The 21975-nt window shown below is 53.4% G+C and overlaps 2 protein-coding genes and 1 long non-coding RNA gene across 25 annotated transcripts, besides 7 other annotated features; 1 reads left to right on the top strand and 2 right to left on the bottom strand.

Moving 5' to 3' along the window:
• Window positions 1–993: 993 nt before the first annotated feature.
• PRRT3-AS1 (PRRT3 antisense RNA 1) lies at window positions 994–8377 on the bottom strand. Its single transcript, NR_046734.1, has 4 exons — window positions 8177–8377; window positions 7601–7714; window positions 7312–7426; window positions 994–1177 (listed from the first exon to the last, which is right to left on the bottom strand). It is a non-coding gene; the product is annotated as a PRRT3 antisense RNA 1 (long non-coding RNA).
• Window positions 3335–3874: a silencer, noted in NCBI's record as "silent region_14052". NCBI's record gives its function as "represses an Ori minimal core promoter by ATAC-STARR-seq in GM12878 lymphoblastoid cells {active_cell/tissue: GM12878}" and the evidence as "EXISTENCE:reporter gene assay evidence [ECO:0000049][PMID:35858748]".
• PRRT3 (proline rich transmembrane protein 3) lies at window positions 3373–10239 on the top strand. Of its 8 annotated transcripts, none has more exons than NR_134900.2 (5): window positions 3373–3459; window positions 5609–6680; window positions 6868–7023; window positions 7780–9696; window positions 10070–10239. NR_134900.2 is itself a non-coding variant. In NM_207351.5 (4 exons), exons 2-4 carry the CDS (start codon window positions 5666–5668, stop codon window positions 9552–9554), a joined length of 2946 nt encoding a protein of 981 aa, NP_997234.3. In that variant the 5' UTR covers window positions 3373–3459; window positions 5609–5665; the 3' UTR covers window positions 9555–10239. The 8 variants fall into 8 exon arrangements, 5 of the variants coding, with proteins under 5 accessions (NP_997234.3, XP_011531930.1, XP_011531931.1 ...); XR_007095665.1 differs by having other exon boundaries at window positions 3373–3639; XR_007095666.1 differs by having other exon boundaries at window positions 3373–3801.
• Window positions 4979–5268: a mobile genetic element, noted in NCBI's record as "direction; reverse".
• Window positions 5154–5184: a non allelic homologous recombination region, noted in NCBI's record as "AluSx recombination sub-region, recombines with the AluSx recombination sub-region within the 3p25 IRAK2 Alu-mediated recombination region". NCBI's record gives the evidence for it as "EXISTENCE:nucleotide sequencing assay evidence [ECO:0000219][PMID:19280651]".
• Window positions 8123–8784: an enhancer, noted in NCBI's record as "H3K27ac-H3K4me1 hESC enhancer chr3:9988681-9989342 (GRCh37/hg19 assembly coordinates)". NCBI's record gives its function as "activates a minimal SCP1, AML or CMV promoter by ChIP-STARR-seq in naive H9 embryonic stem cells {active_cell/tissue: H9 hESC(naive)}" and the evidence as "EXISTENCE:reporter gene assay evidence [ECO:0000049][PMID:30033119]".
• Window positions 9447–10109: an enhancer, noted in NCBI's record as "H3K27ac-H3K4me1 hESC enhancer chr3:9987356-9988018 (GRCh37/hg19 assembly coordinates)". NCBI's record gives its function as "activates a minimal SCP1, AML or CMV promoter by ChIP-STARR-seq in naive H9 embryonic stem cells {active_cell/tissue: H9 hESC(naive)}" and the evidence as "EXISTENCE:reporter gene assay evidence [ECO:0000049][PMID:30033119]".
• On the bottom strand, window positions 10375–21947 carry CRELD1 (CRELD disulfide isomerase 1). Of its 16 annotated transcripts, none has more exons than NM_001374317.1 (12): window positions 21861–21947; window positions 21169–21361; window positions 20864–20946; window positions 18109–18219; window positions 17675–17766; window positions 14755–14931; window positions 14575–14670; window positions 12885–12968; window positions 12609–12704; window positions 12266–12400; window positions 11686–11891; window positions 10375–11416 (listed from the first exon to the last, which is right to left on the bottom strand). In NM_001374317.1, the coding sequence occupies exons 2-12, from the start codon at window positions 21340–21342 to the stop codon at window positions 11390–11392; spliced, it is 1281 nt and encodes a 426-aa protein (NP_001361246.1). In that variant the 5' UTR covers window positions 21343–21361; window positions 21861–21947; the 3' UTR covers window positions 10375–11389. The 16 variants fall into 16 exon arrangements, 13 of the variants coding, with proteins under 13 accessions (NP_001361246.1, NP_001026887.2, XP_011532410.1 ...); NM_001031717.4 differs by having other exon boundaries at window positions 11686–11879; XM_011534108.2 differs by having other exon boundaries at window positions 21929–21947.
• Window positions 15733–16530: an enhancer, noted in NCBI's record as "NANOG-H3K27ac-H3K4me1 hESC enhancer chr3:9980935-9981732 (GRCh37/hg19 assembly coordinates)". NCBI's record gives its function as "activates a minimal SCP1, AML or CMV promoter by ChIP-STARR-seq in naive H9 embryonic stem cells {active_cell/tissue: H9 hESC(naive)}" and the evidence as "EXISTENCE:reporter gene assay evidence [ECO:0000049][PMID:30033119]".
• Window positions 21536–21905: an enhancer, noted in NCBI's record as "active region_19413". NCBI's record gives its function as "activates an Ori minimal core promoter by ATAC-STARR-seq in GM12878 lymphoblastoid cells {active_cell/tissue: GM12878}" and the evidence as "EXISTENCE:reporter gene assay evidence [ECO:0000049][PMID:35858748]".

Below are 21975 nucleotides of genomic sequence, written 5' to 3'. Positions count from 1 at the left end.
ACTAAAAATACAAAAGCAAGATTCCATCTCAAAACAAAGAGCACTAGTTCTAAAGTCAGGCCTGTGGCTTGGCCCCTTAGTTGCTGCATGACCTTTAACAAGTTATTGAACTTCTCTGAGCTTCAGCTTGCCAGCTGTATAATGAAAAACATAAAACCTAGGGTTGTCATGAGGACTTAAAAAGAATAATGGTGTGTAGCATAGTTTTTGGCAGACCAAGTGCTTGGTGAACAGGAGATATTGACCATCCCTTGTATACTTGGAGTCACCTTCCATTTATCCCCGCCGTCCCAGAGTCTGCAGAAGGATGCTGGGAGCTCCATCTGGAGCTGAGATACTCCCCGTCCACACCTGCGCACCTCGTGTTCCCCGCTTACATTCACCTCCACCCCAGCCAGTCTCCTCTTTCCGCAGGATCAGCTTTCACCTTGGCCTCTAGCCAAAGGGATCCTAATCTCTCTTGCATTTGTTTGGAATCTCAGAATGCCTGCCGGTTGGTGGTTTAGAAACGCGATGGGATTGGGGCCCCTGGTTCCAAAGAGGGCAGCCAGCAAGCAGCCAGATGGCCCTGCATGGACTGGGAGGTCAGGCACTCACACACCTGCCCTTCTCAGGAGAAACTGAGGAAGGGAACCGGGCCAGCTCTGAGCCTGTGGAGGGAATCTCAACATCTCCAAAGGAGGCTCCCAGCGAGTTCACAAGGGGAAGTGAGAGGAAGGATCCAGACTCCTCAGCTTCTGTAGGGGGCCCTAGGACTGCATTCTGGCCAAGACTGCCCACATGGGAACAGACACAGGTCCCCCAAAGGAAGTTAGGATGCTGTCAGGAAGGGAAATGGTTATTGCAAAACCCTCCAAAATGTCAATCAGCTATATGTAGAATCAGGATCCAGTTAACTTCCTACAAGATTGTAACAACAGGCTGGATCTAACAAGATAAACAACAAACAAATGTAGAATCCTACATTAAGAGTCAATAAACCAGTGGTACATGAAGAGATGGGAAGACTTTACTACTAGATCAATTGGGTAACAAAGTAATGTGGCTGCTAGAAACATTAATTCAGTGTGAGGCCGTATGAATGGAGTAGAATCCTGGAAAGGAGAGGTGAAGGTTCAGCTTTACTCCCAACAAGGTTCATTTCCAAGAGTCCTACTTTCAGAGGGGCGTTGTTGAGCTGGTAAGAAGCAAACAGAGAAGAGATTCCACATGGTGAGAACCCAGAATCCTGTCCTGCAAGGAACAGCTGAAAAACTCGGAGTGTTTGTCCTGGAGAAAGAAGACTCTAGAGAAATGAGAGATGCCTTTACAATTCTGAAGTGGCTCCAACAAGGAAAACAGAGCTGGTCAGGTCATGTGTGAAACGGGCAAGGCCTGCACCCTCTCCCAGAGTCAAGCAGCTGAATGCAGGCCCCACCATTTACCAGCCATTAGGGATGGAATATTCTTCAAACTGCAACACGTCAGACACAACTGGGGCCTGAGTATTGCTTTTCTGTGAGAGCTAGAGGTAGGAAGCCATTGGGAGGGAGATGTCAGCTCAGCCCTAGGAAGAATTTTTTCTTTTTCTTTTTTAAGTGAAATTTGATTTTTTATTTGATACTGGGTCTCTTTCTGTCACCCAGGCTGGAGTGCGGTGGTGCGACCTTGGCTCACTGCAACCTCTGGCTCCTGGACTGAAGTGATCCTCCCACATAACCCTCCTGAGTATCTGGGACCCAGGTGCGCACCACCACACTTGGCTAATTTTTTTTTTTTTTTTTTGGTAGAGATGGGGTTTTGCCATGTTGCCCAGGCTGGTCTCGAACTCCTGGGTTCAAGCAGTCCTCCAGCCTTGGCCTCCCAAAGTGCTGGGAATATAGGCATGAGCCATTATACAGGCCAAATTTTCTTCTTCTTCTTCTTCTTCTTTTTTTTTTTTTTTTTTTTTTTTGTCAGTCTCGCTCTACTGCCCAGGCTGGAGTGCAGTGGTCATTGCACTCCAGTGACACAGCTTGTGGTCAATGGACAGAGTGGTCAATGCACTCCAGTGACACTCCAGTGGCCATAGCTTACTGCAATCTTGACCTCTTGGGCTCAAATGATTCTCTGGCCTCAGCCTCTGGAGTAGGTAGGACTACAGGCATGTACCACCACGCCCAGCTAGTTTTTTTGTTTTTTTGTTTGTTTTTTAATTTAAAAAAGTCTCACCATCTTGCCCATGCTGGTCTTGAACTCCTGGGCTCAAAATGATCCTCCTCTCTAGGCCTCCCAAAGTGCTGGGATTACAGGTGTGAGCTACTGCACCCAGCCCTATCTCATTTTTGATAACCACATATATTTCCTGTGTGGCTTTCCCTTAAGGAATTGAGCCTAATAATGGATGTTTAGTATATCAAGAGGTGTTCAAAGAAAGACCAAGAACATTTTGACAGTGTCTACCAGCCCCATATGCAGACCCATAGATTTTACTACCATGCCTCGGCTAGGCAATTATCTGGTAGGTGCACTAGTGTACGTGCACAGTGATGTGTTAAGCAAGGAATGGCCCCTGCTCCATTATCCCTGCGAGCAAAAGGCTAGAAACAACCTATGTCCAATTACAGGGGACAGGATAAAGAACAATAACTAGCTGACCATATGCTGGAATTCTCAACAGTGGATACAAGAAATGATATAGATCTATAGATATTTACATGAAAAATGTGCCAGAATATATTGGAAAGTGAAAAAGACAAATTACAGAAATGTGTACAGTGGCTGGGCACGGTGGCTGACGCCTGTAATCCCAACACTTTGGGGGTCCGAGGCGGGCTGATCACCTGAGGTCAGGAGTTCGAGACCACCCTGGCCAACATGGTGAAACCCTGTCTCCACTAAAAATATAAAAATTAGCCAGGCATGGTTACTAGGGAGGCTGAGGCAGGAGAACCACTTGAACCTGGGAGGCGGAGGTTGCAGTGAGCCGAGATCACGCCACTGCACTCCAGCCTGGGCGACAGAGCAAGACTGTCTCAAAAAAAAAAAAAAAAAGTATACAGTATGATGTCATTTCTATTTAAGATGTACATGTAACTGTACATTGAGAAGAATCTGAAGGATACATACCAAGCTGTAGGTAGGATTTACCTAAAAGGATGTAGGGATATAGAAAGGAAGTGAGCTCCCCGTCCCATGAGGTATGCAAGCAGAGGCTAGCTGCCCCGTTTTCAGGGATGCTGCAGAAGACATTTCCACATCCCTCAGAGATGACCTCGGTTCCACTCTGAGCCCTGACAATCCCTGAGCGAGGGGAAGTCAGGGTTGACAGAAGAGTCCACCCCTAAGGGGAAAGAGTTAAGCAGGGCTGCGCTCCTGTGGGCGGGCTCGCGATCGGCAGCGCCGGGCTCTGTTAGCCGAGTCTGAGCATCTCGGAGGATGCGGCGCGGCGATCGGCTGCAGGGACGCGCGCAAGGTGAACACGGGGGCTGCGGCGCGCAGGTGAGGAGCTGGCCCAGGGAGGGGGCGATGGCGGGACCCCGACGGGGAGCGTGGCCTGCTGCCCCCGTCGCGGGCGCAGGCGACCAGGCCTGCACGGCGCCCACCCCCATCCAGGACACTGCGGGAAGGCGCGGAGCCAGGGAGAGAGGAGACGGAGGAGGAGGAGGAGGAGGAGGAGAGGTAACCCGAGATGGACCAGCTCCGAGGCTGCCCCGCAACGGCCTCGCCCTGCCCCCAGGCCGGCCTCTCCCCAGTCCCTGCGGCAGAGAGATCCGCCACCCCCCACAGCCTCTCCAGCAGAGTGGGAGCCCAGGGCTGGGCAAGCCCCCGCCTTGTCCGCAGGTGCCCACATCTCTTGGGTTGGCAGTGGTAGGCAGATGGCATGTTTATCTTTGGAGGCCCCATTCAGCCGTTTTCTCGGCAAAGCTTTTTGGACCTCCTGTGGAAGATGAGCCTCCGAGGGTTTCACAACCCCGATTGTGTCCACTCAGCTGTGTGACCTTGGGGGAGTTGCTCACCCTCTCTGAACCCCCGTTTCTTCCCCCTGTGAAATGGCTGTTCCCACACCTTGTATTGGGAGGGCGGAGTGACGTGTTGCTAAGCTCAGCGCAGGAGCCTCACTGGGAAAGAACTAAACACAGGAGCACTGTTTTTAGCCAGTACCTGTGTTAGGGGCGTCTCAGCGCACCCCTACTCCCAACCCTGGAGCAAAGCCCTGTCTCTGGGCCCCCAGCACCTAGCCTAGACCAGGAGCAGCCCATGGGGCTCCGTGAATGTTTGAGAAATGAACTAACAAGGCTTTAAGACAGAGTCTAAACTCGAGTTTGGAGGATGGGACTCAAAGGTCTTTGAACCCCTTGAAATTGTTCACAACTTTCGGTGAGCCTGGGTCTTTTCCCCGGGAGAGCACCAGGGGTTTTCAGTGGCTTCTTAAGGTGTCTGTGAGCCACCATGGGTTAACAGCCAGGAAGCTTTGGGGACAGCTGCTCCCCAGAGAGGAAAAGAGCAGGGCCTCTGCCGCCAAACACACCCAGGCTTCAGCTCTCGCACCCTCCATGAAACCTCTCCTGGTGGTGGGGCCCCTTCCTGCCTCCCTGGCCCACTGACAGGCTCTCGAGAACAGGAACTTTTAGGGGATATCCACGTGGGGCCAGGTATATACTGGAGGCTGCAGGTTTGAAATAAGAGGCAGGAGATTATTATAGAATCAGACCAGAGTGACAAGTGCCCAGGAAGATGAGGGAAGGAAGGCGGGAAGAGGAATGTGTAACGCTTGTCAAGCATCAGGTATGAACCTCGCCCATACCTGTTTGGTTATTTGTCTCATGCCTTGAGTTAGGCATGCTTATTATCCCCATTTTACTGATGGGAAAACTATGATGCAGAGAGGTGAAATGACTCCCCCAGGAAATGAAGACACTGGGATTCAAACTCAGGCCCCTCGCCAAAGGCCGGTGCATATTCCTCTCCCTCTCCACGTCTCTCATTTTTGAAGTGGGCCTTTAGGAATAACATTTCAGGCAGGGTGCAGTGGCTCATGCCTGTAATCCCAGCACTTTAGGAGGCCAAGATGGGCAGATTACCTGAGGTCAGGAGTTCAAGACTAGCCTTGCCAACATGGCAAAACCCCATCTCTATTAAAAATATAAAAATTAGCCAGGTGTGGTGGCACATGTCTGTAACCCCAGCTACTCGGGAGGCTGAGGCAGGAGAATCACTTGAACCTGGGAGGTGGAGGTTGCAGTGAGCCGAGATCACGCCACTGCACTCCAGCCTGAGCGACAGAGCAAGACTCCGTCTCAAAAAGAACAGGATTTCAGTAAGTGAAGGGGAAGGGAGAGAGCATTCCCTGCTGACAGAACAGCAGAAGCAAAAGGCATGGGAGCCACACAGTCCAGTGGGTGTTGGAGGACAGATGAACAGCTTGTGGTGGCCAGGGTCTTGGAAGGCCAGGAGAGGAGCTTATGTTCTTTCTTGAGGGAAATGGGGAGCCACTGAAGGTTTTAAAGCAGGGCAAGTGCCACGTCCAGCAATTTTAAAAGCAGAGAAGCTGCTGCCTTGCGTTGCTTTTCTTTCCTGTCAGCCCCTTGAGGAAGGCATGGGGGCCCCCAGCCCTCACATGTCATTCCATGCCCTGTTTTTTTTTTAGGCTCATCCAGTGAGGACTGGAAGGTGGGGGCTTTAGGCCCAGGCATCGGAGTAGACCATGGCCTCCAGCCCATGGGGCTGTGTATGTGGCCTTCTGCTGTTGCTGCTGCCACTCCTGGGGACTGGCCCTGCCCTGGGGAGGGGCTTTCCCAGGCCACTTGAAAACTCCGAAATCCCTATGATCCCTGGAGCCCACCCCAAGGGCTCTGTGGGCTCAGAGCCCCAGGCCTTTGACGTGTTCCCGGAGAACCCCAGAGCTGACAGTCACAGGAACTCTGATGTCCGCCACGCCCCTGCTGAAGAGATGCCTGAGAAGCCTGTAGCCTCTCCCCTTGGCCCAGCCCTGTACGGGCCCAAAGCAGCACAAGGAGCTCAGAGAGAACGACTCCCAGTAACTGATGACCTCCAGATGGCTCAAGGACCAAGCTCCCACGGCTGGACAGGACCTCTGGACTCACAAGAGCTTCTGCAGCAAGAAGCAGTGGCTCCCCACCCAGTGGGCCACCCTCATCTCACTTTCATCCCCACAACTCCCAGACGTCAACTCAGGGTAGCCACAGTTCCTCCCTCCCTGCAGCATGAAGGCCAAGAGGGACAGTGGCCACCTAGAGATGAGGGTCTGAAGGCCAAAACTAAGAGCAGGGTCCCACCCACTTCTCCCTCAGACCACCAGGGCCCACCCCACACCCTTGTTTCCCACTCAGGTACTGTCAAGAGGCCAGTGCTGGAAGGACAGGGTGGGTTTGAGGAACACTTGCAGGAGGCAGCTCAAGGTCCCCACTTCACCCAGCAGGATCCAGCAGCCCCTGATGTTGGCTCAGTACCCCCAGTTGAGGTGGTGTACTCTCAGGAGCCAGGGGCCCAGCCAGACTTGGCATTGGCCAGAAGCCTTCCTCCTGCTGAGGAGCTGCCGGTTGAGACCCCCAAGAGGGCTGGCGCTGAGGTGTCCTGGGAAGTCAGCTCCCCAGGTCCCCCGCCCAAGCAGGCTGACCTTCCTGACGCTAAGGATTCACCAGGACCCCAGCCCACGGATCCACCCGCCTCAGAGGCTCCTGATCGGCCGTCTAAGCCAGGTGGGTATCAATGAGTGTGCTGAGCGATGTTCTGGGGCAGCTGGATGCCTCAATTCTGTTTGACCCTGGGTCCCTCTAGGTCTCATTTTCCTCTTTGTGGCAAATGAGGTTGATTGTGACTCAATCCTGAGGGATTAGGAGGACCATAGGAGGGTCAGGTAAGGTGATGACTGCTTTGTCATTTCAGAGAGAGCAGCAATGAATGGAGCAGACCCCATCTCCCCCCAGCGGGTGAGAGGAGCTGTGGAGGCCCCAGGCACCCCCAAGTCTCTCATCCCTGGTCCCTCAGACCCTGGCCCAGCTGTAAACCGAACAGAGAGCCCCATGGGGGCCCTGCAGCCAGGTGAGAGCATGGCTGGGGTGTGGGGAGAGGGAGTGCTCTGTCTAGTAACTGAGAACCTCTGTTGGGGATGTATGGGGGCGGAGGGTGGGGAATGAATGGAGACAATCACCTCCTTAAAGGAGTTGCCCAGGGCCTCCTTCAAACAACCTAGGATAATAAATTCATACTCACTGGGAAATCTGGGAGAAGTCATTTGCCCTTTTGGGGCTAGAATGTTCTAATATGTAACATGGATATGTTTAGAACAAAAAAAATATATAAAAATTAGTTGGGCGTGGTGGTGCATACCTGTAGTCCCAGCTATTCCGGAGGCTGAGGTGGGAGATCACTTGTCCTGGAGGTCAAGGCTGCAGTAAGCCCACATTGCACCACTGCACACCAGCCTGGATGACAGAGTGAGAACCTGTCAAAAGAAAAAAAGAAAAAAATTCCAATGCCCAAGCCACGTCCCAAGAAATTCTTATTCCTTGGTCTCCAGAAGATTCTAATATGCAGCCCATGTGTCGAACTGCTGGGGTACTACCTCCCTGATAGTAGCATTAATGAAAATGATAGCTGACATCCATTTAGCACTTACTGGGTGTTGGGCACCGGGCTAAACATTTCATCTTCTTCACAACGCAATGAGGCAGGTGCTGTTATCTCCATTTTGCAGATTTGTTTGGAAAAGTTAAATGACTTGCCAACCACACTAGAGGGTGATACAAAATCAAAAGCACTTTTCAAATGGCTATTTTAATATTGTTATAATTGCAGATGAAGCCGAGGAGTGGCCGGGGCGCCCCCAAAGCCATCCCCCAGCACCCCCAGTCCAGGCCCCCTCGACGTCACGCCGGGGCCTCATTCGAGTCACCACGCAGCGAGCCCTGGGCCAGCCTCCCCCTCCGGAGCCCACCGCCAGCTCCATGGCTTCAGCCCCAGCCTCCAGCCCCCCAGCCAACGCCACTGCACCCCCGCTACGCTGGGGCCCCCTTCGGCGGGTCCTGAGCTTCTCCTGGGAGCTGCACGTCTACGGGGTGGGGGTACTCTTTCTGCTGCCCGCGTTGTTGGCGCTGGCTGCGCTGGCAGCCGCCCCAGCAGGGCCCCGGCTGGCATTGGTGGCCGCGGTGCTGGTGCTCGTGGCTTCGGCGCTGCGATCCGCCTACATGCTTACCGACCCTTACGGCTCGCAGGCGCGGCTGGGCGTTCGCGGGGGCCTGGTGCTCTACAACCTGCCCTTCCCCTTGCTGCTTACGGCGCTGGCAGCCCTGACTCTGCTCGGCCTGGGCGCGGGGCTGCCGCCACCGCTGCAAAACCCACTCCTGCTGGGAGCAGTGGCGCTGGTGCATGGTGTAGGGTTGCTCGCGACAGACCTGCTGTCCACATGGTCTGTGCTCAACCTCCTGACGCAGGGCTTGTCGTGCGCCTGGGGCGCGGCCGTGGCTCTGGGCACGCTCTGCCTGTGCCGTCGCCGCCTGCTGGACGGCCCACGGGGCTGGGATGCCAGCCCGGGCCCTCGGCTGTTGGCTGTGGCGGGCGCGCTGGGGCTGCTGGCTAGCGGCTTGCAGCTGGCGGCTGCGCTCTGGCTGTACCCGGGCCCAGGCCGCGTGGGCCGCTTCTCGTGGGCCTGGTGGGGTGTCCACTTCTGGCTGCGCCTCCTGGAGCTGACATGGGCGCTCGCCCTGGCGTTGGCCGCGGTGGCTGCCGCGAGACCCAGGCCGCCCACGGAGCACGCTTGCTGGGCTAAGCTGATGCGTCTGGCGTGCCCGGCGCCGTCAGGAAAGAGCGAGGTGCCGGAGCGACCCAATAACTGCTATGCAGGGCCCAGCAACGTTGGTGCAGGCAGCTTGGACATCAGCAAGAGCCTCATCCGCAACCCGGCGGAGAGTGGGCAGCTGGCCACGCCCAGTTCAGGCGCCTGGGGCTCGGCTGCGTCGTTGGGTCGCGGACCCCAGGGTGGCCCGGGACTGTCCCGCAACGGTGTGGGACCGGCGCCATCGCTGAGCGAGCTGGATCTGCGGCCGCCATCGCCCATCAACCTGAGCCGCAGCATCGACGCCGCGCTCTTCCGCGAGCACCTAGTGCGAGACAGTGTGTTCCAGCGCTGCGGCCTCCGCGGCCTGGCCTCCCCGCCGCCTGGAGGCGCTCTGCGGCCGCGCCGGGGCAGCCATCCCAAAGCCGAGCTCGACGACGCTGGCTCCTCGCTCCTCCGCGGCCGCTGCAGGTCGCTCAGCGACGTGCGCGTGCGCGGGCCGGTCCCACAGCACGTAGTGGAAGCACCCGACGGGGCAGCCGCTGCGGCTTCTGGCAGCTCCCTCGACAGCTTCTCCAGGGGTTCACTCAAGATCAGTTGGAACCCCTGGCGCCACGGGCTGTCATCAGTGGACAGTCTGCCCCTAGATGAGTTGCCCAGCACGGTACAGCTACTGCCTGCCCCGACCCCAGCCCCTGATTCTACCGCCGCTCGGCAGGGGGACGGCCAGGGAGAGGTCCAGCCGCGCGGCAAGCCTGGGGAATCCCGCAGCGCCTCCAGTGATACCATCGAGCTTTGAAGAGCGGTCCTGACGCAGGGCCAGGACCCTGCCCGATGCCCACATGGCATGGCCTACTGGGACAGTTGAGCCTTTAAAAAATGGGCATCCTGGCCAGGCGCGGTGGCTCACGCCAGGAATCCCAGCACTTTGGGAGGCCGAGGTGGGTGGAACACGAGGTCAGGAGTTCGAGATCAGCCTCCTGGTCTCGAACATAGCGAAACCCTCGTCTCTACTAAAAATACAAAAAAATTAGCCAGGTGGCACACGCCTGTAGTCCCAGCTACTCGGGAGGCTGAGGCGGGAGAATTGCTTGAACAGGGAGGCAGAGGTTGCAGTGAGCCGAGACCACGCCATTGCACTCCAGCCTGGGTGACAAGAGTGAGACTCCGTCTCAAAAAAAAAAAAAAAAAAAAAAAAAAAAAAGGCATCCCCAGGCCTCTCTACCTGACGGCAACCCCCGGGGGACAGCCAGGTTTGAACTCACCCCACCCCCATGCCGTTTTTTGCTTTTAATATTTCTATTTTTTTTTCAGCCGGCATTTTGCACAGAGGCCGTGTCTTATGCGGAATACAGGGTGGGTGTGCATGGATTCGGGCATGAAGAACAGGGAGCAGGTGCCCCAGACTCCCCAACGTGGAGTGATGAGCCTCGCTTGTCTAGATTGTCCTCTTTGTGCCAAAGAAATAAACCCTTAGGACTTGGCTCATGCTTCCCTCTGGCCATGCCAGGATCCTGTACTCATAGGAGGAAGGAGAGACTGGAGGCCCTGCCTCCCAGTCATTCTAAGTCCTGTGTATTGGACGGAGAGCAGGACTCCGAGGAAAGGTTGCTTGAGGCTTGGAGGCTCTGGTCATAATGGCGACCACACTTTTATTGAATATCTGTTGTGTACTGTCCAGGTCTTCACATTTGTCACCTCATTTAATTCTCATGTTAAGCCTGAGTGGAAAGCATTATGAAGCCCATTTGAGGAAAGAGAAGAGTGAAGTTCAGAGGCAAAAGTCATCTGTCCAGGGTCCTTTGCCAAATGACAGCTGGCATGGAACCCTCCTAAGGCTGATTCCTCTATCCTCCTTCTCCTAACAGCACTTCAGGGGCAACCTTCTCCTCTATCTTTTCTCCACTCACCATCAAAGAAGCCCTCAATTTCCCAGGATTCTAGGACATTTCCCTAAGGTGGGGGTGGTGGGACAGGTAGTAAGACTGATGCCTTTTAACTTTCCAAGACCTTTCTTTATTTCCTGAGATGAATAAATAAGTGGCAATGGGGTGTGGGGATGTGGTGAACACAGAACAGGAACTGGCAGCATGCAGCTGGCAGGAGGGAGCTGTGATGGCCCCACCCCTGTGAGGACCACCTAATCCTAAGCAGGGGCCAAAGCTCTAGCAGCCACCATTAAGGAAAAACTTTTGAAATTCACACATTGTGAAGCCTGCCAGTCCCCGCCAGGTGAAGAGCTCATGGTATCCACCTTCAGGGCTACTTTTTACCCCAGGGGCCTTGTCTGCCCGGGCCTGGGTACCTGGGCTGCTCTGTAAGGCAGGTAGGGGTGCTTACCCCACTCTCAAAAATAAACCAAGCTGTCCTGAGTGTCCAGCAGGAGGGCAGCCCAAGCTCTGGGGGCAGCGTGGGTGGGAGGAGGTCCTACAGGTGGTGGCCGCGATTATCTGCCCTTGATGAAGCCCTCCAGCACACGGTCACTGCGCTCTGACAACCAGTAGCCAGTCATGGCCGCCACAGCCCCAATGAAGATGGCGGTGAACACCAAGTCGCCCTTAGCAGCCAGCGTGGCCAGTGCACAGATGATGATGCCAAAGAACATCTGCTGCAGCACCACCAACTCGTCTTCTGTCATCTCTGAGAAGAAGCCTGCTGACTCTGCAGAGGAGCAAGAGATGCAGCCTGGCACTCGTATCCCTGTTCCTGGTAGTTCTTGGAGTCTCCCCAGAACTCCCACACACCTGATCATCATGGCCACCAGGCCTGCCCAGCAAGCCAGGCACACTACATTTACTGCTCAAAACCACCCTGCAAGGGGCAGTTACCATCCCTGTCTCACTAAATGGGAAAGTGAGGCTCAGAGAGGTAAAGGGGTTGGACTTGCCAAGGCCATGTGGTGGACAAGTTGGGGGCAGAGCATTTATTACGTGTATGAGTCTCGTTCCACGGTCAGACTGTCTGGATTGGGATCCCAGCTTTGCGACTTGCTTGCCATATAGCCCTGGGAAAGTAGCTTCATCTCTCTGCATCTTCATTTTTACATATGTAGAGTGGGGATGAGAACCCAACTTCCAGCGTCGGGTTGTTTCAGGGGTTAAATCAGTTAAGATGGGGAATGCACCTAGAACAGCATCTGACACAGTAATTGCTGGGGAAATGGTCCCTGCCATCATCGTTGTGATTACCCTGCATCTCACCACACCCCCGGCCTAGGACAGCTCTCAGCAGGCCAGGGCAAACACTGGTCCCATTGGATAGATGAGGAAACAGGTTAAGGAGGCAGACTGATTTGATGCCAGGTCTGATTCCCTTTGTACCCTGGAAGGTATAAGGCTGCTGAGAGCCAACCTGGAGATCAGATGTAGAGCCCGGTCTCAGTGCAGCCTCCAGGGGGCTGGGTGGCAGTAGGGATGGGGCAGGGCCTGGAGCTGCCACTGCTACCTGGGGAAGGGGCTTGCCTGCCTTCTCTTTGAATGAGGACCTCCCCTCTCCCGCCCCAGGGCTCACCTGGGATCTGCTCCTTCACACAGATGCCTTCCATCTGCTTGTAGCCCTCGGCACAGATGCAGCGATAACCGCCCTCGGTGTTTTCACACTGCTTGTTCTCTCCCGGACACACCTCTGTCTCACACTCATCCACATCTTGAGGGGAGGGAGGGGTCAGAGTCCTGCTAGGGCCCCCCACCCAGCACCCTGACTCCATCTTGTCCATCTCTCAACACTCCCCTCTGCCCTTGCCCAGGCAACATTCCACCCTTCCTTCCCCCACCTGCCCATATTCCAGCCTCTTCACCATTCATGCTGGGTGAGGCACTCCCAGGTGCCTGTGTCCCATCAGCAGGAGACTCACCGAGACACTTGGAGCCCACCTGCTGATAGCCAGGGCTACACTTCTTACAGCGACCTGGCCCTGCCCCCATGCAGCCTAGGCAGGCCTTGGCACAGTCTGGAGAGAGGAGAGAAAGATGAGGGTGAGATGTGCACCTAGGCCCAGGGGAGCCACGCTCCAGAAGCGGAGGCCTGGGGGTGCTCTGAAGCCTGAGAAGGGGAAGGTTTGGAGGGACAGGTGTGGAGCAGCTCTTCCTCCACTCCTCACGTCCCCTCCTCTGCAGAAGTAGACACTGACCTCGGCACTCATAGGAGCCCTCAGTGTTCACGCAGAATTGGTCAGCTCCACAGTTGGCTCCCTCTGTGCCACACTCATCAATGTCTGCAGAGAGGTGAGCAGGGTGAGAATTTCAATCCCTATTTAGTAGGGAAGCTGAAGCCAGAGCCGTTGGGGAATGGTCTTGCCTGGGATTAAATGGTATGGCAGAGACTGCAAGCTGTCTACCAACACAGAAGCAGACTAGCTGGACTTCAGGCTGCCCAGCCAGAGACCACATTTGCCAACCTGTCTTGAAGCTAAGTGTGTCCCTGTGATTGAGTTCTGGCCAACAGGATGTAAACAGGAGTGATGAGCTCCACCGTTAGCTTGGTCTTAAAACAATGCTTGGACTCCTCAATGCACTTTCTTTCCCTTCTCCCTTCCTGAGTGCTGGCATGTGGGACACAGAGATGCCCAGGACTCAGCTTCAACCATGCAGACAACGCCCAAGGGGATGATTGTGCAGTAAGTTACAGGAATAATCTGGGTACTGGAATGATTATGACTAGCAGAGCTCCCCTGCCAGCCTGGACTACTCACTTTGGGACTGTAATATGATAAAAAAAAATAAACCTCTACCCTCTAGATTCTTTTTTTTTTTTTTGAGATGGAGTTTCGCTCTTGTCACCCAGGCTAGAGTGCAATGGTGTGATCTTGGCTCACTGCAACCTCTGCCTCCTGGATTCAAGCGACTCTCCTGCCTCTGCCTCCCGAGTAGCTGGGATTACAGGCACCTGCCACCATGCCTGGCTAAATTTTTGTATTTTTAGTACAGACAGGGTTTTGCCATGTTGGCCAGGCTGGTCTCGAACTCCTGACCTCAGGTGATCCACCCCACTTCAGCCTCTCAAAGTGCTGGGATTAGAGGCGTGAGTGAGCTACCACACCCAGCCAACCTCTATACTCTTTAAGCCACAGTCTTTTGGGGATTTTTGTTACAGCAGCTTAGCCTTTACTTTAGTCTATATAAGTGGCTAGGCTGGGACCAAACCAAGTCTTGAACCCAGGTTTCCTGACCCCAAGTTCAGTGTCCTCATTCTCCTAGCCAACCCTTCCTCATTTTTTTTTTTTTTTTTTTTTTTTTTTGAGATGGAGTCTCCCTCTGTTGCCCAGACTGGAGTGCAGTGGTGCGATCTCGGCTCACTGCAAGCTCCGCCTCCCAGGTTCATGCCCTTCTCCTGCCTCAGCCTCCTGAGTAGCTGGGACTACAGGCACCCGCCACCACGCCCAGCTAATTTTTTGTATTTTTAGTTGAGACAGGGTTTCACCATGTTAGCCAGGATGGTCTCGATCTCCTGATCTCATGATCTGCCCGCCTTGGCCTCCCAAAGTGCTGGGATTACAGGCGTGAGCCACCGCGCCCAGCCCCTTCCTCAATTTTTAGGACTTGGCCAAAGTAACGCCTCCTCCAAGAAGCCTTTCCTGATTCCCCATCACCACTTCCACTGAACTAGATCAGAGGCATCTCTCACTGTACACAGGGACTATACTACACAGTACCTGTGTACTGGACTGTAAGTATCTGGTTACTTTTCTGCCTTCCCAGCCAGGTTGAGATCTCCATGAAGGTGGAGACTAGGCTAGTCTAGCCCAGGCTTGTGTTGAGAGAATAAAGGACCAAGCCCAGGCCCCTGACCATCTTCCCAGACCTAGCTAGGGCCCCACTTACCTACACACTTGAGGTGATGCAGGGCCCAGCCCTTCTTGCATTGCAAACAGTTTGATTCCTCAGGTCCTGAGCATCGGGCACAGGGGCCAAAACAAGCTGGGTGGAATGGGGGCAGCATGAGGATGGGCAGGCAGGTGCCCCATCTGCCCCTGCCCAGTGCCACACCTTTTGGCTACCTACCCGAACATACCAGATGGCTGGCGTTGCGTTCTGCCTCAAAGTAGCCAAGGCCACACTGGCCACAGGCCTCACCCCCGTAGCCGGCTTGGCAGTCACAGTGCCCGCTGCCCCCTCGTGTCCCTTCTCCTTCACACTGCCCGTAGCCACCGCAGGGCCTCTCTGTTCCCCCAGGACAGGCTGTGGGAAGACACCAAACCAGGTGAGGTCATCTATACAACCTTGATATACAAGATAATATTTTCTCCCTCTCCCTCTCCCTCTCCCTTGCCTTCCCTCCCTCCCCCCCTCCCCTCCCCCTCCCCCTTTCCCTCTCCCTCTCCCCATGGCCTCCCTCTCCCTCTCCCCATGGTCTCCCTCTCCCTCTCTTTACACGGTCTCCCTCTGATGCCAAGCTGAAGCTGGACTGTACTGCTGCCATCTCGGCTCACTGCAACCTCCCTGCCTGATTCTCCTGCCTCAACCTGCCGAGTGCCTGCGATTGCAGGCGCGCGCCACCACGCCTGACTGGTTTTCGTATTTTTTTGGTGGAGACGGGGTTTCGCTGTGTTGGCCGGGCCGGTCTCCAGCTCCTAAACGCGAGTGATCCGCCAGCCTCGGCCTCCCGAGGTGCCGGGATTGCAGACGGAGTCTCGTTCACTCAGTGCTCAATGGTGCCCAGGCTGGAGTGCAGTGGCGTGATCTCGGCTCGCTACAACCTCCACCTCCCAGCCGCCTGCCTTGGCCTCCCAAAGTGCCGAGATTGCAGCCTCTGCCCGGCCACCACCCCGTCTGGGAAGTGAGGAGCGTCTCTGCCTGGCGGCCCATCGTCTGGGATATGAGGAGCCTCTCTGCCAGGCTGCCCAGTCTGGAAAGTGAGGAGCGTCTCTGCCCGGCCGCCATCCCATCTAGGAAGTGAGGAGCGTCTCTGCCCGGCCGCGACCCCGTCTGGGAGGTGAGGAGCGTCTCTGCCCGGCCGCCCTGTCTGAGAAGTGAGGAGCCCCTCCGCCCGGCAGCCGCCCCGTCTGGGAAGTGAGAAGTGTCTCCGCCGGGCAGCCAGCCCGTCCGGGAGGGAGGTGAGGGGGTCAGCCCCCCGCCCGGCCAGCCGCCCCGTCCGGGAGGTGAGGGGCGCCTCTGCCCGGCTGCCCCTACTGGGAAGTGAGGAGCCCCTCTGCCCGGCCACCACCCCGTCTGGGAGGTGTACCCAACAGCTCATTGAGAACGGGCCAGGATGACAATGGCGGTTTTGTGGAATAGAAAAGGGGGAAAGGTGGGGAAAACACTGAGAAATCGGATGGTTGCTGTGTCTGTGTAGAAAGAAGTAGACACGGGAGACTTTTCATTTTGTTCTGTACTAAGAAAAATTCTTCTGCCTTGGGATCCTGTTGATCTATGACCTTATCCCCAACCCTGTGCTCTCTGAAACATGTGCTGTGTCCACTCAGGGTTAAATGGATTAAGGGCGGTGCAAGATGTGCTTTGTTAAACAGATGCTTGAAGGCAGCATGCTGGTTGAGAGTCATCACCACTCCTTGATCTCAAGTACCCAGGGACACAAACACTGCGGAAGGCCGCAGGGTCCTCTGCCTAGGAAAACCAGAGACCTTTGTTCACTTGTTTATCTGCTGACCTTCCCTCCACTATTGTCCTATGACCCTGCCAAATCCCCCTCTGGGAGAAACACCCAAGAATGATCAATAAAAAAGACAAAAAAACAAAAAAAACAAGATAATATTTTCTGCTCTGCATATCAGTAAACATTTTTGGAGAAGAAAATTAATTTTAATGACATAATATTTTGTCATAAAACTGACATTTACTTAACCAATTTCCTCTTGTGGAACAATTAGATTTTACAGACCTTTTATTTATTTATTTATTTATTTATTTATTTATTTATTTATTTATTTTTAGTGACAGGGTCTCGCTCTGTTTCCCAGGCAATGACATGATCATAGCTCACTGCAGCTTCGAACTCCTGGGCTCAAGCAATCCTCCCACCTCAGCCTAGGGGAACAACAGGCTGCACTACCATGCCCCACTATTTTTTTTTTAAGAGACAGGGTCTTGCTCTACTACCCAGGCTGGTCTCTCAAACTCCTGGCCTCAAGTGATCCTCCTGCCTCAGCCTCCCAAAGTGCTGGGTTTACAGGTACGAGCCACTGGACCAAATATTTTCTTTTTTTTTTTTGAGACAGAGTCTCGCTCTGTCGCCCAGGCTGGAGTGCAGTGGCATGATCTCGGCTCACTGCAAGCTCCGCCTGCCGGGTTCATGCCATTCTTCTGCCTCAGCCTCCAGAGTAGCTGGGACTAGAGGCGCCCGCCACCATGCCCGGCTAATTTTTTGTATTTTTTAGTAGAGACGGTGTTTCACCATGATAGCCACGATGGTCTCGATCTCCTGACCTCATGATCCACCCACCGCAGCCTCCCAAAGTGTTGGGATTACAGGTGTGAGCCACCGCGCCCAGCCAATATTTTCTTTTACAAAGACTGAATTTGCCATCTTTGTAGCTAGCTCTTTATCTGTAGCTTCAGGAAAGACTGCTCTAAAAGAGGCTGGTAGTAAGTTCAGCTCTTGTGCCAGGACTGTGTGTGAGGATGGATGGCGATCATGGAGGCTCCAGGTCAGCACCCGCCCCTCCCCAGGAAGGTACCATAGTCCGATCTGGCATGGGAAATGAAGGGGCTGGGAAGTCTATCATTTCTTTAGTACATGATGATAACTATACTGCATATGACTCAGTCTAGCCCCTGTGCTTTCTCCAAGCCTTTCCCCACTGATTTGCCCATCTCCCCAGCCCTGTCAGGCAGGCAAGAACTGAGGTCCAGAGAAGTTTATCTGAGTAGCCTGAGTTCACACAGCGAACTAGGGACAGAGCCAGGACTGGATCCCTGGACTCGGTGGTCCCCTCCCATCCCCAAGAGCAACTTAAAAACTCACGAAGGCAGGAGGGCCCGAAGGTGCCTGCGGGGCAGCAGAGCTTCAGGGAATCTGAGCACAGCCACTGGAAGAGGTCCGGGGCCTCCTGCTGCCTGAGGCAGGGGCAGGGTGGAGGGAGGTGGGGAGGAGGTGCTGAGATAGTGTCATAAGTGCTGTTCCCATTCCCCCATGCCTGAATCTGTGATTCAACCCAGCTTGGACATAAGACCCAAAAGGCCATCTGACCAATGCCCTTTCCCCATTTGGCAGAAGGGTAAACTGAGGCTCAAAGTGGAGCGCAAGTCCCCCGGCAAGTTCTTAGCAGACCTGGGTTTGGAAGGAGCACAACCAGGACATGGGCCCCAGCATGCACCCCCCTGCTTCTCGGCCAAATCAGGCCTTATCACCAGGCCTCACCTGTGACCCACTTCCAGGGAAGGCCCTTTGCCACTCACTTGTGAAACCACCAGCTCTCCACCAGCTCCTCACTCAGCTCCAGCAGGCGGTGGCACTCGAAGTCTGACTTGCTGCACACACCCTCCAGCACCTCTACCAGGCGGGTCTCACTGATCGGACAGGGCAGGGCTGGTGGGAAACATGCCCCACCCCACCCACCACCCTCCTCAAGTCTCTCTCCACCCTTCCTCGTGCGGTGAAAATATCAAAGGAGAGGCCATGAGGTATAATGGAAGGGGTCATGGTTCTGGGAAGCAGAGAGACCTGGGTTCAAATCTAGTGGTAGATCTAGTGGGCAAGTCACTTAACCTCTCTGAACCTCTTTGTTTTGTCATCTGTAAAATGGGGATGACAATACCTTCCCTGCAGGTTTGTTGTAACATACATCAGTTCCTGCATCTGAGCAATGGAATATAATACCCTTGCTGGGTAGATATGGCTAAAAATACATCCTATAACAAGTGTTGGCAGGGATGTGGAGAAATTAGAATCCTCCCACACTGCAGGTGGGAATACAAAATGGCATCACCACTGTGGAAAAGCAGTTCCTCAATAAGTAAAACATGGAATTGCCATAGGACCTGCCAATTCCACTACTGGATATAGACCCAAAAGAATGGAAAACAGGTGTTCAAACGAAAACTTGTAGACAATGTTCATAGCAGCACTATTCACAACAGCCAAAAGGTAGAAACAATGCAGATGTCCATCAACTGATGCATGGTTAAACAAAATGTGGTACAGCCAAATGAGAATATTATTCAGCCATAAAAAGGAATAAGTATTGATATATGCTACGGTATGGGTGAACCTTGAAAACATTATGCTAAGTGAAACTAGCCAGACACAAAAGGCCACATATTTTATGATTCCAATGAAATCAGCAAATCCATAATTTCTGCTTGACTAACACAAATTAGTGATTGCCAAGAGCCGAGGGAAGGGGAGAATAGGGAGTGGCTGTGTAATAGGTATAGGATTTTTTGGGGGGGTAATGAAAATGTTCTGGAACTACATAGTGGTGATGGTTACACAACATTGTAAATATTATTAAATGTCTTTAATGGGAAATTTTTTATGTGTATTTTACCACAAATATATACATATATATATATATATACGCATATATATACGCACATATATATACGCAGACATATATGCACATATATATACACACACATATATATATACACACACACATATATATACACACATATATAAATATTTGATGTCTTATATCCTGTATTTAAAGGGTCTGGCACAGTGCCTGGCATATAGGAGGTGATTTAAAAAAGCAAGCAACGCAGGAGCCATTACAAAGCTGGAAGTGCCTCTGGGGTTGTCTTAGCCAATCCCCTCATTCCTGAATGAGGAAACTCAGGCCCGGCGAAGGAAAAGAGAAAATGACCAATGTTACATAATAACAAAACCTTTATTTCTAGTGGGCATCCCAGTTAAGCCTTTTCCACACTTCTATGAAATAGGCAAACCAGGTATTAATATCCCCATTTTACAGGTGAAGAAACTGTGGCTCTGAGAGGTTAAGAACCGACAACCAGGTCTAACTCTGAGCCTTTGCTGACTCCTCTTCCATCTGACTTTGAAAAGCTGGAGGGCTCAGGGCTCGCCTTTCTGTATCCTTCCCATGCCTTTCTTTACATACTGACTATATAAATGGCTTTCTGTATTACATATATTGACTATATAATGGCTTTCTGTATCCTTCCCATGGCTTTCTTTACATACTGACTATATAATGACAACTCTCAAATTCCTGTTTCCAATTCCTACTCTTTTCTGAATTCCAGATTTGTATGGAGTCTACCTGGATGTCTAATGGACATTTCAGCCCAATACGTTCAAAGAACACCACATCCCACCCCTCCCCTAAACCTTCTCGGTTTCGCATCTCACCATCTTAGAAAACAGCTGCACTACTCACCCAGTTGCTCAGGCCCAAAATCTAGTAAGCATCTTTTATTCTACTGTTTCTCTATACCCATAATGAATCTATCACCAGGTCCTATTGTTCTCTCTGCAAAATATACCCAGACTGTGACCTCTTCATCATGTCCTCCACTAGATACCACACTAGCTTGTGTTGCCTTTGTACCTAGATGATGCACTTGCCTCCCAAACTGGTCTCCCTGCTTCCTCCGCCCTTGCCCCTTACAATCCGTTTGCTACATAGCAGTGTGAGTAATCTTTAAAGGTGTAGAGAAGACAGTATCACTTTTTCTGCTCATAGCCTTCCAAGAGCTTCCCATTACACTCCAAAAAAAATCTAAACTCTTTTCTGTAGCCCTCGAGGCTTAAGCCTTTGCCTTCACCTTCTAGCACTCTCCCCTTGGCTCACTCCACTCCAGCCACTTCTCAAATACACCAAGCTCAGTCCCATCCTCTGCCCAATTCCCTCCCTGTCACATAGCTCGCTTCTTCACTTCCTGTCTCTCTGTTCAAATGCCAAACCTTGAACACCTTGCCTCCCACCGTCCTGCAGTCTACCGTGCTTCACTGTTTGTTCTTCATCTGACATAATATTATTCACTTACTCATTCACTGCTTGTCTTCTCTACTAGAATGTGAGCTCCAGGAAGGGGGCATTTTGCTTGCCTTGTTTACTGCTATACTATAGATGTTCAGTGCTATTTGTTGAATGAATAAGTGCTCCCCAAGAGTTCCTAGCCCTACACCAGCAGAGCAGAGATTTGGCGGGGAGGGGAATATACACCCCTTCCCCCAGCAGCCCCTTACCTGTCTTTGTATTTGGACAAATTCTCTTCCTCCCAGGCAGTGTTTCCACCTCCAAAGTTGTCCCGGATGGTTCTCTCCAGGCCCTGGAAACAGAAAATTAGTAATAGCTAAGTACAGTGCCTGGCACATGCTAGCACTTCACTGTTCTACTGACTAGGAAACTGAGGCACAGAAAGGCAACCTGCCTAGGGCCATACAACTAGTAAGAGACCAAGATGAAACTTAAATCCACGCAGATTTGCATCCCAGAGTTCCCCACTCTAAATCGCTGTGTTCCCCTCTAACGAGGCTGCCGGTGCACCCACCTTGTTAAAGCTGTCAACCAGTCCCCGGCAGGTATGACACGGATGGGGCTGAGGCGGGGGAGAAGACTGGGGAGGTGGAGAGGGCTGGAGCCAGATAGGTCCTGGGAGGTTGAGGAAGAGGCTGAGGCCCCAGAGCATAGCTGGGACTAGGCCCTTCGGGGGCCATGGGGCCATCTTTACCCAGGCTGGGGACCTGCAGATAGAGGGCGTGGAGAGGCTTCACTGAAGGAGTCAGGCCCCACGCGAGAAAGAAAAAGGTCTGTTCTAAGGTGCCGTGGCGCTGGGATCTGCGTTATTACAAGCAAAAGAGGCCAAACTGGGTATTGCAGGGGCTGTGGGGATGGGTGGGGAAAGGCGCATAAGATGCAATTCCAGAAGAGAAATAAGTTATCCTCGCTAGCATGGGGTGGAGAGGAAAGTGGCCTCGCTCCTTGACAAGGGGGCAGAAGTCAGCCTCTTGTCTGAGGGTCTGATAAAGAATATTAGGGGCCGGATCCGCAGAATTAGGGAGAAGAGATCAGATTCCAAGTACTGAAGGAGAGGAGGCCAGAGGGGTTGTCTTGGGGGAGGTGTCCGGAACCCCGGGCTTGGAGGGAGGAGCCCGGATCCGGATATGAAGGGAAGGGATCAGATTCAGGGCCTCGCAGAAGGGCAAAGGCACGGCCCACGAGCCGGCAGAGAAGGATCCAGACCCTCGTAGGCCACGGAGAAGGAAGAAGCGACCGCCCCAGCCCGCGGGCGCCGTGGGCCGTCTCCTCACCGCGTCGCTGCCACAGCCTGCGTAAAACGCACAACCCCCACCCGCGC

This window comes from Homo sapiens, chromosome 3 (genome assembly GCF_000001405.40).
Source record: "Homo sapiens chromosome 3, GRCh38.p14 Primary Assembly".
Taxonomy (NCBI): Eukaryota; Metazoa; Chordata; class Mammalia; order Primates; family Hominidae; genus Homo; species Homo sapiens.
This window is presented reverse-complemented; position numbering and strand designations above follow the sequence as displayed.